Source organism: Homo sapiens, chromosome 2, assembly GCF_000001405.40.
Source record: "Homo sapiens chromosome 2, GRCh38.p14 Primary Assembly".
Taxonomy (NCBI): Eukaryota; Metazoa; Chordata; class Mammalia; order Primates; family Hominidae; genus Homo; species Homo sapiens.
Genome location: NC_000002.12, coordinates 138,889,834 through 138,906,310, shown reverse-complemented (window position 1 = coordinate 138,906,310; position 16,477 = coordinate 138,889,834). Strand labels below are relative to the sequence as shown.

Here is a 16,477-nt window from a genome sequence, read left to right as displayed (position 1 = left end):
AAGCCTTTTATGTCAACTCTTTCTTCACTCAAGATAAGTTCCTTCTTCATTAGAGACTGCTATAGGTGAAAATGTAGGGATAACTTCATTATTCAACTGAAATTTTAGGAATCATTAAAATAGGATCAGACAAGCCTCAATACTGTGACTTTTAAAATTTTATGGACATTCTATGTGCAGGTACAATGTGAATGGCCTCATGTTTTGTAAGCTCACTGTCTCTCATTTTCAAAGTTTTATGGGTTTCTACTCCTGCAACCTCATAGTCCACTTCAGTCTCTAGTTTTCTTTATACATAATGTCTAGGTTTCAATAAAAAAATTACAAGATATGTGAAGAAACAGTAAAATGTGTTCTAGACCAATAATCAAGAGGAAAATCAGTTAATAAAAATAGATACACAGTTTAGATGCCAGAATTATAAAATAAGAACATATAAATGTCTGATAAATTTGTATGAGAATCTATACAAAATAGTAAGCATAATGAGCAAAGCAATTTTGGAGAGATTTGCAAACTGTAAAAGAAAACCAAAATAGAATCCTGATGCTAAAAAATAGATACCTGAAATAAAGTATTCACTGAATGTGTTTATGAGCATATTGGACACAAATAAACTTAAAACAGGACAGCAAAAATCACTCAAACTAAAGCACAGAAAGAAAAATATTTAAAATAATGATTGAAGTGTAACAATATTAAGTAGTCAAATACATAGTATTGCATTTTATAAATAATGAAAAAATAGCTAAAATAATGAAAGAATATAGACATAGAATATAGAATAAGAAAGAATAAGAAATGAAAAAATATAGAAATAGAATATAGAGATAGAAAGAATAAAAACTTTCTAAAATTGATTACAAATGTCAATTTAGAGGTTCAAAAAAGCCAGTAAGCACCAAGTACAATAAATTGAAAACACACACACACACATCTAAGAGTATCATATAAAATGGCTTTAAACGAAGACAAAGAAAAAACTCATAAAAATAGCTAAAGAAAAAACAGACTAATACAGGGGATAAATTATAAAAGAGAGTGATGATTTCCCATCAGAGACAAGAGAGACAAGAAGAAAATATAACAACATCTTAAAGGACCAAAAGAAGAAAATTATCAAATCAGAATTCTAAATACATGAAAACTGGGAGACTATTGCCAACATAAATGCAACATTTAAAACATGCTAGGCAGGTTCTTCATGATGAAGGAAAATTATACCAGATGGAAAATTGAATCTACAGGAAGGAATGCAAAATACCACAAAAGCTAAATATATGAAAACATATAAAACATTTTGTTTTTCAAAGCTATAAATATTTTTGTTTCTCAAAGCTATAAATACTAAGTACCTATAATATCCTTGGCATTAATTTAGCATTGTATGAATGTGGGGGGAAAAGTCAATAAAGGGGGGAAATAAATGAAGAAATGGGAGTGGAATAATAAGACATTTGCTACTGTTAAACCTTTTTTTATTGGTTTGTTTTTGAGACAGAGTCTTTCTCTGTCACCCAGGCTGGAGTGCAGTGGAACAATTTCGGCTCACTGTAGCCCCCGCCTCCCGGGTTCAAACAATTCTCATGCCTCAACCTCCTGGGTAGCTGGGACCACAGCTGTGCACCATCATGCCTGGCTAATTTTTGTATTTTTGGTAGAGGCAGGGTTTCACAATGTTAGCCAGGCTGGTCTCAACCTCCTGGTCTCTAGCTCCTTGGTCTCAAGTAATCCACCTGCCTCAGCTTCCAGCAGTGCTGAGATTACAGGTATGAGCCACTGTTCCTGGCCTAAACATTTTTACCAATGACTTAAATAAAGACATTGACAGCATACTGGGAAAGAAAATTAAGTAAAAGAAAATGAACAAAATATGCCACACAAAATCTAACCATAAGAAATCCTGTGAATTTGTAATAATGTCAGACAAATTAGACTTCAAGGCAAGTAGTGGGTCATTTCAAAAGGATAAAAGAGTCAAAATAATCTTAAATGTATATCTAAAATATCTATAATAAAAAAGCTTCAAAATACATGAAGCAAAAATTGATAGCAATGAAAGAATATTTTTACATCTCTTAGTACTTGATAGAACAAGTACACATACACACACAGTATGAGTTAGTAAGAATATTTGAATAAACAAATCAAAACAATTTGATATTCATAGAATATTATACCCAAACAAGGACAAAATACACATTCTTTTCAAATCACATGGAACAACCACGAAAATATACCCTATACTGGGTATATCATAAGCCTCAGGAAATTTTGAAAACTTGAAATTATTTAAAATATATTTGTTCTCTTACACAACAAAATTAAAATAAAAATCAATAACATTGAGATATACAGAAAAATCTCAAAAGTATGGAAAATAACCCTCTTTTAAGTAACCAGTGAATCAAAGAAAAAATCAAAAGTGAGTTTAGAATTATTCCAAAATGATAATACAAAAGACGAAATGGATAGGATGTAGCTAAAACAGTTATAAAAGTAAAAATCTATCACTTTAAATAAAGAAAAGCAGAAAGATGTGAAATCAACAATCTAGATTTTCCACTTAAAAAGCCTGAATAAGTGTAATTAAATAAGGAATAAGCAGAGAGAAAGAAGTAACAAATAGAAGAGCATAAATTCATATAGCAGGAAAAAACAAATAGCATCATAAATAAAAAGACAAAAAATTAATTTCAAAAGGATTTAAAAAAAGGGGAGGGGGGCATATATCTAGCTAGACGAACCAGGGGATAAAAAGGAAGGAAACACAAATTATCAACCCAAAGAATAAAATATGGTATATCATTTTGTGTCCTAGAAACATTAAAAACACAATGAAATGTTACTGAAAAATACTTTTATTCAGTGAATTTGAATTACTATATATTGGATAAAGTTATTGTAAAATGCACTTTGCAAAACTGACACAAAAACGAAAAAAATAAAATAGCCACTTATCTGATAAAGAAATCACGATAAAACTTTCCCACAAAAAAATTTTAAAAACTAAAAGTCCAGATGTATTCAATGATAAATTTTATTTAATGTGTAAAAATAATTAATCTTTTCTAATTCATTTCATACGAATAATGTAACTCTGATACCAAAACCTGACAAAGATATTACAAGAAAAAATCACAGACCACAATCATGATGGAGGAATTTTTAAACAAAATATTAAGAAATAAAATCCAATGATATATAAAAAGGATAATTCATAACGACCAAGTGGAGTTTATCCCAAGATGCAAGTTTGTTTTAACATCCAAAAATTAATAGTTGGAATTCTCTTCATTAACAGAAGATTAGAAAAAGTATAAGTTATTCAATTCATGCAGCAAAAATATGTGACAACATTCAACAAACCTGATAAAGGGCATGTATGAAAAACCTACAGCTAATATCATATTTAATGTTGAAACGTTGAACTCTTTCTCCCAAGACCAAGTGAGCAAGGCAAGAATGTCTGCTCTTGCCCTGCCCGGCGCCGACCGCCCAGTGCCTGTCCCCAGACTGAGGCCCAGCCCCCTTCGCCCGTGCCCATCACGAGCGCCACCAGCATGTCTGACAAACTGCCCTACAAAGTCGCAGCCTGGGGACGCAAGGCCCTGGACATTGCAGAGAACAAGATGCCAGGCCTGATGCGCATATGGGAGCGGTACTCCGCCTCCAAGCCACTGAACGGCGCCCGCATCCCTGGCTGTCTGCACAGGACCGTGGAGACTGCCGTCCTAATGAGCCTCATCACCCTGGGTACTGAGGTGCAGTGGTCCAGCTGCAACATCTTCTCTACCCAGGACCATGCGGCTGCTGCCATTGCCAAAGCTGGCATTTCAGCCAGCACTGGCATTCCAGTGTTGCCGTTGCCAAGGCTGGCATGCCTGGAAGGGCGAAACAGACGAGGAGTACCTGTGGTGCATTGAGCAGATGATGTACCTCAAGGACGGGCCCCTTAACATGATTCTGGAAGACGGGCGACCTTACCAACCTCATCCACAGCGAGTACTCGCAGCTCCTGCTGAGCTTCCGAGGTATATCCAAAGAGACCACAATCGGGGTCCACAACCTGTACAAGATGATGGTCAATGGGATTCTGAAGGTGCCTGCCATCGATGTCAATGACTCCGCCACCAAGAGCAAGTTTGACAACCTCTATGGCTGTGGGAGCCCCTCATAGGTGGTATCAAGCAGGCCACAGACGTGATGATTGCCGGCAAGGTAGCGGTGGTAGCAGGCTATGGCGATAAGGGCAAGAGCTGTGCCCAGGCCCTGCGGGGTTTCAGGGCCAGCGTCATCATCACCAAGACTGACCCCATCAAGGCACTGCAGGCTGCCATGGAGGGCTATGAGGTGACTACCATGGATGAGGCCTGTCAGGAGGGCGACGTCTTTGTCACCACCACAGGTTGTGTTGACATCATCCTTGGCCAGCACTTTGAGCAGACGAAGGATGATACCATTGTGTGTAACACTGGATACTTTGATGTGGAAATGGATGTCAAGTGGCTCAACAAGAACACTGTGGAGAAGGTGAACGTCAAGCTGCAGGTGGACCCGTACCGGCTGAAGAATGGGCGGGGCATCATCCTGCTGGCTGAGGGTCGGCTGGTTAACCTGGCTTGTGCCATGGGTCACCCTAGCTTCGTGAGGAGTAACTCCTTCACCAGCCAGGTGATGGCGCAGATCAAGCTGTGGACCCACCCAGACAAGTACCCCGTTGGGGTTCACTTCCTGCCCAAGAAGCTGGATGAGTCAGTGGCTGAAGCCCACCTGGGCAAGTTGAACATGAAGTTGACCAAGCTGACTGAGAAGCAGGCCCAGTACCTGGGCATGTCTTGTTACTGCCCCTTCAAGCCAGATCACTACCGCTACTGAGAACCCGGTCTGCGCTTCACCTTTCAGCCGCTGTCCCTGCCCAGGCCCCTCCTCTCCTCCCTAAGAGCAAACGGCACCAACTTTGTGATTCGTTTGTCAGTGTCCCCCATCGACTCTCTGGGGCCGGTCACTCAGTTTTTGGCCTCTGCTGCAGTCCTCATACTGTTCCAAGAGTGGCAGCGGGAACTGAGAGGCCCCTCCAGAAGCCACGGTCATGATGGAGGTCCCAGCCACAGGGAACCATGAGCTCAGTGGTCTTAGAACTGCCCACTAAGTCAGTCCTTCCTTAGTCTCAGTCAGTAGTGGAGTCACAAAGCCCGTGTATTTTGTCATCTAGGCCTTCACCTGGTCTATGGACTTATACCTGTGTGCTTGGTTGACAGGTCCAGTGGTTCCTCAGCCCATGACAGATGAGAAAGAGCTATATTGAAGGGCAAAGAAGATCTGTCGATCGAATTTTCCTGAGAGACTGGCTTAGTGCTGGGCCTTCTCTTAAACCTCATAACAATGAGGTTAGTACTTTTAGTCCCTGTTTTACAGGGATTAGAATAGACTGTTAAGGGGCAACTGAGAAAGAACAGAGAAGTGACAGCCAGAGGTTGAGAGGGGCCATAAAAACATAAAAGCTGGCAGAGATCTGCCACCACTTTGTAACCTGATGGTTCCTATCAGAGAATAATTTGGCCTACAATGTTTATAATGTTAAAAGAAAGCAGAAAGGTGGGTAAATAAAAATCTTGGTGGAAAAAAAAAAAATGAAGTCTGCTCTTACCACTTCTGTATATCTTTATACCAGAGCAATAGATAAGAAAAAAGCTATGAAGATTGGAAAGGAAGAAGCAAAAACTTTCATTATCTGCATGTAGTTTGACTACATAGATATTCATAAAATATATATCAAATAAATTATTAGAATTAATAAAATTAGATCAGAAGCTGAAAAGTCCAAAAATTATCTATGGTCCTATATACTAATCACTTAAAAACTGGAAAATAAACTTCTTTAAAATACCATTTACAGTAGCACAAAATTTAAATACTATTTGTGATAGCATCCTATTATTATTACAATATTGATAGAAATTACTTTAATAAAAATCTATAGAAACTGTATGCTAAAATTATAAGAATATTGAGAGAAATTTAAGAAGACCTAAACAATTGAATTGAAACTCTCAGTATTAATATTTTATTTGTCTCCAGATAGCTATATAAACTCAGAAACAATGCCAGACAAAATCCTACAGAAATGTTTCTACAAAATGACCAGCTGATTCAAATTCATTTTTAGAAATTCAAAAAAACTCAGAGTTAAAACAATCTGGAAAATGTTGATAGAGATACAGTAGCTTATTCTAAGACTTGTTCTATAGCTACAATAGTTTAAAAAAAAGTGGTATAGGCATACGAATAAAAAAATAAATCAACTGAATAGAATATGCTCTAGAACTAGAACCACATACATAGGATCAATTGATTTTCAACAAAACGCCAAGATAATATTTGGGAAAAAAAATATTTTTAACAAATAGTGCTAGAACAACTGTATATTCATATGGGGAAAAAAATGAGCTTCACCCCCCCATTTCATATTATACATGAAAATTATATCCCTGCCAAATGGATCAAAGACCTAAATATAGAAACTATAAATTTAAATTATCTAGAATAAAATACAGGAAATTATCTTCTCTAAAAATTTACAAATATTTATTCAACAGAAAACACTAACCATATTGATAAATTTCATCAAATTTTAAAATCTTGTGCCTCAAAAGGCAAACCATTGTTTGGAATAAAACATTCTTAGTACATACGTACAACAAAGAACTTGTATCGAAAATATATTTTTTTTAATCTGCTACACTTCAATAGTAAAAATAACCAACCAGTTTAAAAATGAGCAAAAGACTTGGACAAATACTTCACCATAAAAATATTAAGATAGCCAGTGAATATGTTAAAGAATGCTCAAACTCATTAGTCACTAGAAATACGAAAATTCAAACAACAAAATAAAACTCCATGCATACTAAAAGAGCTAAAATTTGAGAGTGACAATATGAAGTGCCAGAGCAGATGTATAGTAAACTAGAGCTCTTCTATGCTTCTGTAGACAATGTAAAACATATAACCACTTTGGGAAACAGTTTACCATTTTCTTAGAAAGTTAAATATATACTGCCTACATGAGTCAGCAACCCTACCCCTAAGAATTTGCTCAGGAGAAATGAAAACTTATGCTCAGGCAAAGATGTATACATAAGTATTTATAGCAACTTTATTCATAACAGCCCCAAATTGGGTACAACCCAAATACCCATCAAGTCATGAATGGCAAAACAAAACTAGTAAAATAAATAAATAAATAAATAAATAAATAAAAACCTATGCATAAATACAATAGTCTAGCTGTATCTCAAAAGCATTCTGTACAGTAAACAAAACTTGATACAAGGGTACATACTATATAATTATTTTTAGTATTGAAATATCTATGCATCACTTTAATAACAAATCATTGTAACTGAGTTCAAAATAAAGGAAAGAAGATGCTTTATTTAGCTTCCAATTTCTGGGAGACTCAAGAATTATAAGTATTCTGGACAACAAAAGAAAATAAGACTGTGCTTACAGAGCTTGTTCTGCCATATTCTTTCTTTAGGATGGCTATTTTATTGTTGCCCTTTTTGTTACATGGAATGTGCACAACAGGTTTTAAAAGGTACAACATTTCTATAACTGAGTGCCACTTTCAGAAACTGAACAGGCAAAGAAATTACACTGAACATCAGCATCTGGCAGTATTTTTTGGGAAAAACGTGACTAAAATGGATTTAAATGAACACTATTAAATCACATCTAATATTTGATACTACATGACTCTATACAGCTATATGATACAATTATACAAAATGTGTTAACATCAAAGAATATAACCAAAATTCATATAGCAAACAAATCCTATATAACTTTTTTTACAGGAAAATATTTTTGAAGCATGCATGTAACTGCCCATTCTTTCAAAGAAAATCTATTGCAAGCAAAATTATCAACCTCCAGAAAAATCACACATAGCATTACTAAGCATATCTTCAAAAAGTGTACAATATGCACACTTAGAAAATAAAAAATTTAAAAAATTATAAGCAACAAATGAGCTTCATACTTGCAAGAATGTAAACAGAAGTCCCATTTTTAGCACTGTTGTATAAAGAATTGTCTTTTGCATCTACGAGTTGTCCTGTTGGGAACACACTTTACAAAAAAACCATGTTTTTGAAACAAGATTAGAGAGCAAGATAAAGCATCTTTTAAAGCCTTTTTAAAATTCATGTGTGTGGAAATTGAAGTCCAGTGAAAAGCATTTCCCACGGTCTTCAAACGTGAACTGAAACAGCTTCTCTCCAGTGTGAACCAGTTTGTGTGGTTTTTGTTTTGAGCTCTCAACAAAAGCTCTTCTACATTCTGTGCAGAAGTGGACTCCGTGACAGTGAGTGTGCAGATGTTTTCTCATGTCAGTTATCCTTGAACATCTTTGTGCAGCCTTGGCGAGGGCCAGCTATTGTTCATGGAACATCATCTTTTAAATTTTTCTTGGCTTCATTCTGGCGAATTCTGCAGTTTTTTGGGATCTGAGCTGTCAATGCCAGGTATTCCTCCAAGGAGGAAGTTTCTTTCCTGTCATATACTCTGAATAATCAGGAGGTGAGTTCTCTCCAGTGATCTGTTTCTCAACCACTATTTTATGGTTAATGTCTTTTTGTTTTCATCCGAGTACCACATGGAGACAGATAACTTGCCCTCCAGGTTCCTGATCTGCACTCGCTTCTGCCCCCACTTCTTGTTGCCCAAGATGGTGCCACATCCACCCTTGCCAGCCCCCACGATGGTGACCAGGGCCTGCTCGAGGTGGTGGTGGTGGTCGCCGCTGGCCAGCTCTGGCACCAGGATGAGTATCTGGTTCCCCATCCAAGTCGTCGCTACCCACCACCTCCTGGCATGCCTGCACCAGGATCACCTCCTGGTGGTGGTGAACCTGGGTGAGGTCGTCGTGAGGAATGGCTGCAGCAGATCCTGGCCAGGTGGTGTGGGTGGTCACACCCTATGCCTATGGCCACCCCTGCCACCGTCTTCATTGTCATTGTCCTCCTCCTCGCCTACCATCATGGTCTCAATGGTCTTCACCAGGATGATGTCCACCTAGATCTACTGCAGCTGCAAGATCTCAGCCAGCATCTCCGAGGCGTCTGTACCCATGCAGAGGGTGTCATCCAGTGGCCTGGGCTCCTCAGCTGTGGTGGCAGGCAAGGAGGTGGCCAACTGTGAGGAAGGAAGCTTAATTTTTATAAAGATCTAGAATAGGAAAAACGAAGCTATGGTAATAGTAATCAGACTGTCTCAGAACAGGGGATATGGGAATTTCCTGCAAAGAGGGATGCAAGAGACATTTTGAGATGATGGAAGTACTGTATGTCTTGAATAGGGTGCTGATAATGTGGGTGTACACATTTGTCAAAAGTCATCTAAGCGTTCTCATAATCTGTGCATTTTACTGTGTATAAATTATACTTCAATAAAGTGATAAAAAATTTAAGATAGATAAATAGATCAAGCTATGAGTAGATATTCTTCATACAAATAGGCCCCAGGTCGATTCCCCAGATGTGTATACCTAAATTCTTTGGACCTTTGGTCTGGGGTCCTTGTTTTTCTCCAATGTTTGAAAAGGCAATTTCCCCTTCTGTGAGTGAACTAGGGAAAAATACTCTAATTGATTTGATCAGCAAACCCAAACCTTCCTCTATTTAAAGAGAAACCAATTTGAACATTCTGTAACTGCATACAGATCTTGCCTTGCTTGAAGGGGTCTGCCTAGTAATCCCATAATACATAACTCTATTTCAAATGGGATTGAGGTTACTGAGGCAGAGCAGAAACATTTGCTATGCTTATTTGCATTAACCAATAGTTGGACTGGCCTTGGGGCTCAAAGATATTTGTGGAAGGCTCTATGGTCTACTGAGCTGATGAAATGGCATGGCTTTCTGTATACATAGAGATAACTTTTTGATAACTATGATCACTAACAAATGTTGCTACAGAGAGATTTAGACAAGCATAGTCTCTGATTAGAAGGGATTTATAATCTAGCATGGATAATATTGGCATGGTTCAACATGTGGAGGATTTAAAACAGACAGAAAAAGATACTAACCAATACACAAAATGACATATTTCAATTCTCTATGTATCCAAATTTTGAGCCTTGTATTTGGGAGTCATTGGAAAACCCAAACAAAAACTTAACTAAAAAGATTTAATTTCATTACCCTTTTATTCTTGATCTTTATGTACCTAATAAAAACAAAGTATTGAATCAAAAATGGAATTAACCTCAGAAATTTAGAAGATATCTGACAAGGTAGAATAGAGCTGCAAAAAATGTTTTGGAAAAATTTCAACCCCTGAATATTGAACTATGACTTTACAAGTAACTGGCCCCATTCCTCATCCTTCTGCCTATGTGTAGAGAGGCCCCACATTCTCACTGGGAATGTAGTAGAGGTCAACGGGTATGACTTTTTGTTTTATGATGCACACCAGCATCATGGGAGTAGGTAAGGCATGTGTCAAGCTCAGCTCAAAAGAGCTAATAGTCACAAAAGGTTACACACCTAATACATATCATTCACAAGTGCCCTCTGATTAGTTCTCCTCATGGTTCTCTCTAACACGACACATAAAGAGCAATGAGGAGCTGTTATCTTAAAATCTGGAGCAAGGATGCCCAGAAATAAAACCTTTATTCTCAGTTTGGAGTTGTTGGTCTTTGAATCTCATCTGCTCTCATCCTCTTCCTTCACTCTCTGCTAGCCATTGTGGCCCCTTGGCATTACTCAAACATTCCAAACAGGATCTCCATCTTCTCACCAGCTGGAATGGTCTTTCTCCAGATAGTCACAAGATTTGGTCCCTCACTTCTTCCGTCTTTGTTCAAGCATCATCTTAGGGAGATAGGCTCCAAATATCCTATTACAAATTGCACAACCAACCAGTATCTCCCTAGCTCCTTCCTGCTTGAATTTCTTTGTCTTTATCACCATCTCTCACCACTAACCATAAACTCCATGAGCGTAGAGATGTTTGTTCTCCTTATTGCTGTTCCTCTAGCACCTAGAATTCAGTCACCTTTATCATAGACACTCTACAATTGCATATGAAGTGAGTTTTTCTATCAGTGTCACCTGCCAATCTGAAGGTTTTTTATAACATTCATTCTCTTTCATAGTGTTTTTTTTTTTTTTTTTCACTTTTCTGGATGCCAATCTTTTTCTAATGTTTCCTGTATAGTCTGTCTTTTGTAAAGAAAAAAAAAACACTCTGGAAGTCAACAAAGAAAAAAATCTTAAATAAACCATTTTCTTTCATCTGAACTTTGGAATCTTTTTATTAAAAGGTACTTTTTCTTTAAAAACAATGCCAATTTTTACACAGAAAGATTTGATCAGTAATTTTCAACTTGAGATGACCTCTTTACACTTCTACCATGTTTTCATAGATTAAGATAGTTTTGATGACAATGTGTTCAATGCTGTTATTTTAATAAAAATAAATCTTTATAGTCCTTACGTTTCAAAATACTGAAGTGTAACATTTGATCCTCACAGGTTTTATAATGAAAATGGTATCTGTATTTATAATCCTTCTGTTCTCAAGCCATATATACACACATTTTGTTTCCATTATATTCTTTTTCAATTATTTTATTATTTAACTTTTTAGTTATCTTTTTATGTACTCTTTTAAGTATTTACATAATTCAGTACATTAGCTATTCTTATTTGAAAATTATTTGTCCCTTTCCTCCTTTACTCATAACTTCTGTTCTTTGTAACTGCGGCTTTCCCATTCTTACTATTGTCTTTCCCAAATCTTGTATAACACTCTACTTACCATATTTTTTAATTAAACAAATGCGGCGGTATGATCTTTCCAACCCATAGAAACCATATATATAGCTCATGGTATCATTCTTTGTCTCAGTTCTATTTCCTGAAGCTTAGTAAAAATGTTTTAATCCCTAAGTCTATCAACTTCTAACCTGTGAGTAAAAACCTTCGAGAACATTTCTTACATAATACTTCCCTGCTTTCCTGTTTTAGATTCTATCCTTTCCGTCTCATCCTATTTTAATGTATAGGCTTATGCAAATGGATTTACTAAAAGGGTAGGATAATTTTTGGAAAGAAATATACAGTAAGAAAGAAATAATATATTTTCTCTGATAATTTAAACCCCCAAACGTAACTATTAATGTAAAGAAACTTCTTACTGGCCATGCCTAGGTCTATTTCCTCTAGAGGTCAGTTTAGGAAGAATCTGTTGATGAATTTTTGTCCCAATATTTTATAGGGTAGTAAGTGTCTTACCGAAACCTGGCCCAGTTCTCTGTTGTGTAAGTCAACTCAAAGGAACTGTGTGTACAGCTGATCACAAACCAGATAAGACTATTGCATAAGTAAGTACTCCTGAGAGACTGAAGATCAGGTTTACCTTATTTAAACTTCCAGATCTTTGACATTGATTTTGGTCCTTTCAATACGAACTTATCAAGTGCCTACTCTTGGCCAGATACAGAGGTAGGCACTAAAAATCCAACATGAATGAGACAAGGCCCCTGTTCTCAAGAATTGATGATGTAGGACAGCACATGCTAACAAAGGATTCCAATGTGGCCTGATGTGTCCATTGGATACCAGCACAGGAGGGATCAGGTCAGAGTCAGAGGCATAAGGGAGAAGTCATAGAACAATAAACTAAATTGAAGGAACTTTTAAAAGGAAAGGGGAGCTGTAAAAAAGAGAGTCAGCACCGGTAAATGCAGAGTTTCCCTTCTTAGTTTATTTTCTTTTTCATTTTAGTTATGTTTTACAGTATTACTGAAAAACTTACATGCACGTGATAAAAAAGTAATAAATCAAAAATACAGAATACTATATGGAGAAATGTAAATGTCTCTCCTACCTTAGACTACTAGTCCTTAGTCCTTCTCTATCTAGAAGCAAATTCTGTTACTGTTTTCATATATAAAGTTTCAGAAATAGTCTGTGTACCTGTAAGTATATTTTCTTAAAAATGAAGCAAACAGCATTAAAAGCATCACTTCTGGAAAAAGATGGCCTGAATGAGCATCCTAGTGCTATTGCTTACTACTTAGGTGACCTATTCAAGGAATGCAGCCTCTGTTTCCTCACTTGTAAAATGTGAATAATAATATCTACTTTATAGAGTGTTTTGAGTATTAAATGAGTCAACCCCCAGTAACTAGTCTCTTGAAAGAATGCACTATCTGTACCTTGCTTTTGTCATTTAATGGCATGTATTATAGGTCAACCCATATAAAAGTATCTTGGTTTTTTGACCTACTTATTTTGTTTCCATCTTACAGGGTTTTTTACATCTCTATTTCTCTCTTTCAAAATGACTACCAATACTTTGAGTTGATCCATCTGCCTGTTTTCTTCATGTTTTTGATAACTGAATGTCTTCTGTTTTTACAGCTTTATATTTTGTTTTGTTGATACTTGCCTTAGCTTCTCTAGCTGATATTTTAATATTTGATATATTTAATAATCGTCTCTTGCTCTTTGAAGAGTATTATTACTAATATAACTTGCAAGCAGGCTCAGACTGTATATTAATATACACTTTTCTCTTAATCTACATTTCACTTCTCTCAAATGTGATATGTACGTGCTCTTGATACATACGTGCTAAGAGTCTAAAGAAGGAGCCTTCTCTTCTACTATTTTTTAAACTACACTTCTATTATATGTAGGATTCCAATGATAGAATATTACTACTAATAATTATAGCTGATAATATATGAAAGTTTATGATATGGCTAGTTTGGATCCAGTCATTTTGAAATCAGAGGTAGCCAAAAACAGTATTATTAGTGTTACATATACAAAACAGGGTTCTCTGCAGACCCCAAGCTGAGATTGAAGATTCTTAGAAATATAAGTTGCTCATTTAAGAAAAAGAAGCACAGTATTTTTTTTAATTATACATTAAGTTCTGGGATACATAGGCAGAATGTTCAGGTTTGTTACATAGGTATACATGTGCCATGGTGGTTTGCTGCACCCATCAACCTGTCATCTCCATTAGGTATTTCTCCCAATGCTATCCCTCCCCTAACTCCCCACCTCACAACTGGCCCCAATGTGTGATGTTCCCCTCCCTATGCCCATATGTTCTCATTGTTCAACTCCCACTTATGAGTGAGAACATGCTGTGTTTGGTTTTCTGTTCCTGTGTTAGTTTGCTGAGAATAATGGTTTCCAGTTTCATCCGTGTCCCTGCAAAGGACATGAATACATTCTTTTTTATGGCTGTATAGATTCCATGCTGTATATATACCACATTTACTTTATCCAGTCTAACACTGATAGGCATTTGGATTGGTTCCAAGTATTGCTATTGTGAATCATGCTGCAATAAACATACGTGTGCATGTGTCTTTATAGTAGAATGACTTATAATCTTTTGAGTATATACCCCGTAATGGGATTGCTGGGTCAAATGGTATTTCTAGTGCTAGATCCTTGAGGAACTGCCACACTGTCTTCCACAATGGTTGAACTAATTTACACTCCCATCAACAGTGTAAAAGCATTCCTATTTCTCCACATCCTCTCCAGTATCTGTTTTTTTCTGACTTTTTAATGATCACCATTCTAACTGGCGTGAGATGGTATCTCATTGTGGTTTTGATTTCCATTTCTCCGATGACCGATGATGATGAGCTTTTTTTCATGTTTGTTGGCCACATAAATGTCTTCTTTTGAAAAGTGTCTGTTCATATTTTTCACCCACTTTTTGATGAGGTTTGTTTGTTTTTTTCTTGTAAATTTGCTTACGTTCCTTGCATATTCTGGATATTAGCCCTTTGTCAGATGGATAGATTGCGAAAATTTTCTCCCATTCTGTAGGTTGCCTGTTCACTCTGATGATGGTTTCTTTTGCTGTGCAGAAGCTCTTTATTTTAATTAGATCCCATTTGTCAATTTTGGCTTGTGTTGCAATTGCTTTTAGTGTTTTAGTCATGAAGTCTTTGCCCATGACTGTGTCCTGAATGATACTGCCTAGGTTTTCTTCTAGAGTTTTTATGGTTTTAGGTCTTATGTTTAAATCTTTAAACCATCTTGAGTTAATGTTGGTATAAGGCATAAGAAAGGGATCCAGTTTCAGTTTTCTGCATATGGCTAGCCAGTTTTCCCAATACCATTTATTAAAAAGGGAGTCCTTTACCCATTGTTTTTGTCAGGTTTGTCAAAGATCAGATGGTTGTAGATGTGTGGTGTTATTTCTGAGGCCTCTGTTCTGTTCCATTGGTCTATATATCTGTTTTGGTACCAGTACCATGCTGTTTTGGTTACTGTAGCCTTATATTATAGTTTGAAGTCAGGTAGCGTGATGCCTCCAAGTTTTTTTCTTTTCTTTTTTTTTTTTGAGACAAAATTTTGCTCTTGTTGCCCAGGCTGGAGTGCAATGGTGCGATCTCAGTTCACTGCAACCTCCATTTCCCAGGTACAAGCAATTCTCCTGTCTCAGCCTCCTAAGTAGCTTGGATTACAGGCATGCACCACCACGCCTGGCTAATTTTTTTTGTATTTAGTAGAGACGGGGTTTCACCATGTTAGTCAGGCTGGTCACGAACTCCTGACCTCAGGTGATCCACCCGCCTCAGCCTCCCAAAGTGCTGGGATTACAGGCGTGCACTGTCGCATCCAGCCCAGCTTTGTTCTTTTTGCTTAGGATTGTCTTGGCTATGTGGGCTCTTTTTTGGATCCCTGTGAAATTTAAAGTAGATTTGCTAATTCTGTGAAGAAAGTCAATGGTAGCTTGATGGGAATTGCATTGACTGTATAAATCACTTTCTATTCATGAGCATGAAGTATTTTTCCATTTGTGTTTGTCCTCTCATTTGTTTGAGCAGTGGGTTTGTAGTTCTGCTTGAAGAGGTTCTTCACATCCCTTGTAAGTTGGATTCCTAGGTATTTTAGTCTCTTTGTAGCAATTGTGAATGGGAGTTCACTCATGATTTGGCTCTCTGTTTTCTATTGTTGGTGTATAAGAATGCTTGTGATTTTTGCACACTGATTTTGTATCCTGAGGCTGCTGAAGTGCTTATCAGCTTAAGGAATTTTTGGGCTGAGATGATGGGATTTCTAAATATAAAATCATGTCATCTGCAAACAGAGACAATTTGTCTTCCTTTCTTCCTATTTGAGTATCCTTTATTTCTTCCTCTTGCCTGATTGCCCTGGCCAGAACTTCCAACCCTATATTGAATAGGAGTGGTGAGAGAGGGCATCCTTGTCTTGTACCAGTTTTCAAAGCAAATGCTTCCAGCTTTTGCCCATTCCGTATGATATTGGCTATGGGTTTGTCATAAATATCTCCTATTATTTTGAGATATGTTCCATCAATACCTAGTTTATTGTGTTTTTAGCATGAAGGGGTGTTGAATTTTATTGAAGGCCTTTTCTGCATCTATTGAGATAATCATGTGGGTTTTGTCATTGGT

The 16,477-nt window shown here is 36.9% G+C and overlaps 2 pseudogenes across 1 annotated transcript, besides 2 other annotated features; one reads left to right on the top strand and one right to left on the bottom strand.

Annotated features, from left to right (window-relative positions):
• Positions 3,156-3,656: an enhancer, noted in NCBI's record as "H3K4me1 hESC enhancer chr2:139660225-139660725 (GRCh37/hg19 assembly coordinates)". NCBI's record gives its function as "activates a minimal SCP1, AML or CMV promoter by ChIP-STARR-seq in primed H9 embryonic stem cells {active_cell/tissue: H9 hESC(primed)}" and the evidence as "EXISTENCE:reporter gene assay evidence [ECO:0000049][PMID:30033119]".
• On the top strand, positions 3,479-4,907 carry AHCYP4 (adenosylhomocysteinase pseudogene 4; annotated as a pseudogene).
• Positions 3,657-4,157: an enhancer, noted in NCBI's record as "H3K4me1 hESC enhancer chr2:139659724-139660224 (GRCh37/hg19 assembly coordinates)". NCBI's record gives its function as "activates a minimal SCP1, AML or CMV promoter by ChIP-STARR-seq in primed H9 embryonic stem cells {active_cell/tissue: H9 hESC(primed)}" and the evidence as "EXISTENCE:reporter gene assay evidence [ECO:0000049][PMID:30033119]".
• Positions 7,137-8,987, bottom strand: YY1P2 (YY1 transcription factor pseudogene 2; annotated as a pseudogene). The gene has a single exon (NR_033658.1). The product of NR_033658.1 is annotated as a YY1 transcription factor pseudogene 2 (transcript).
• Between the last annotated feature and the right edge of the window lie 7,490 nt (positions 8,988-16,477).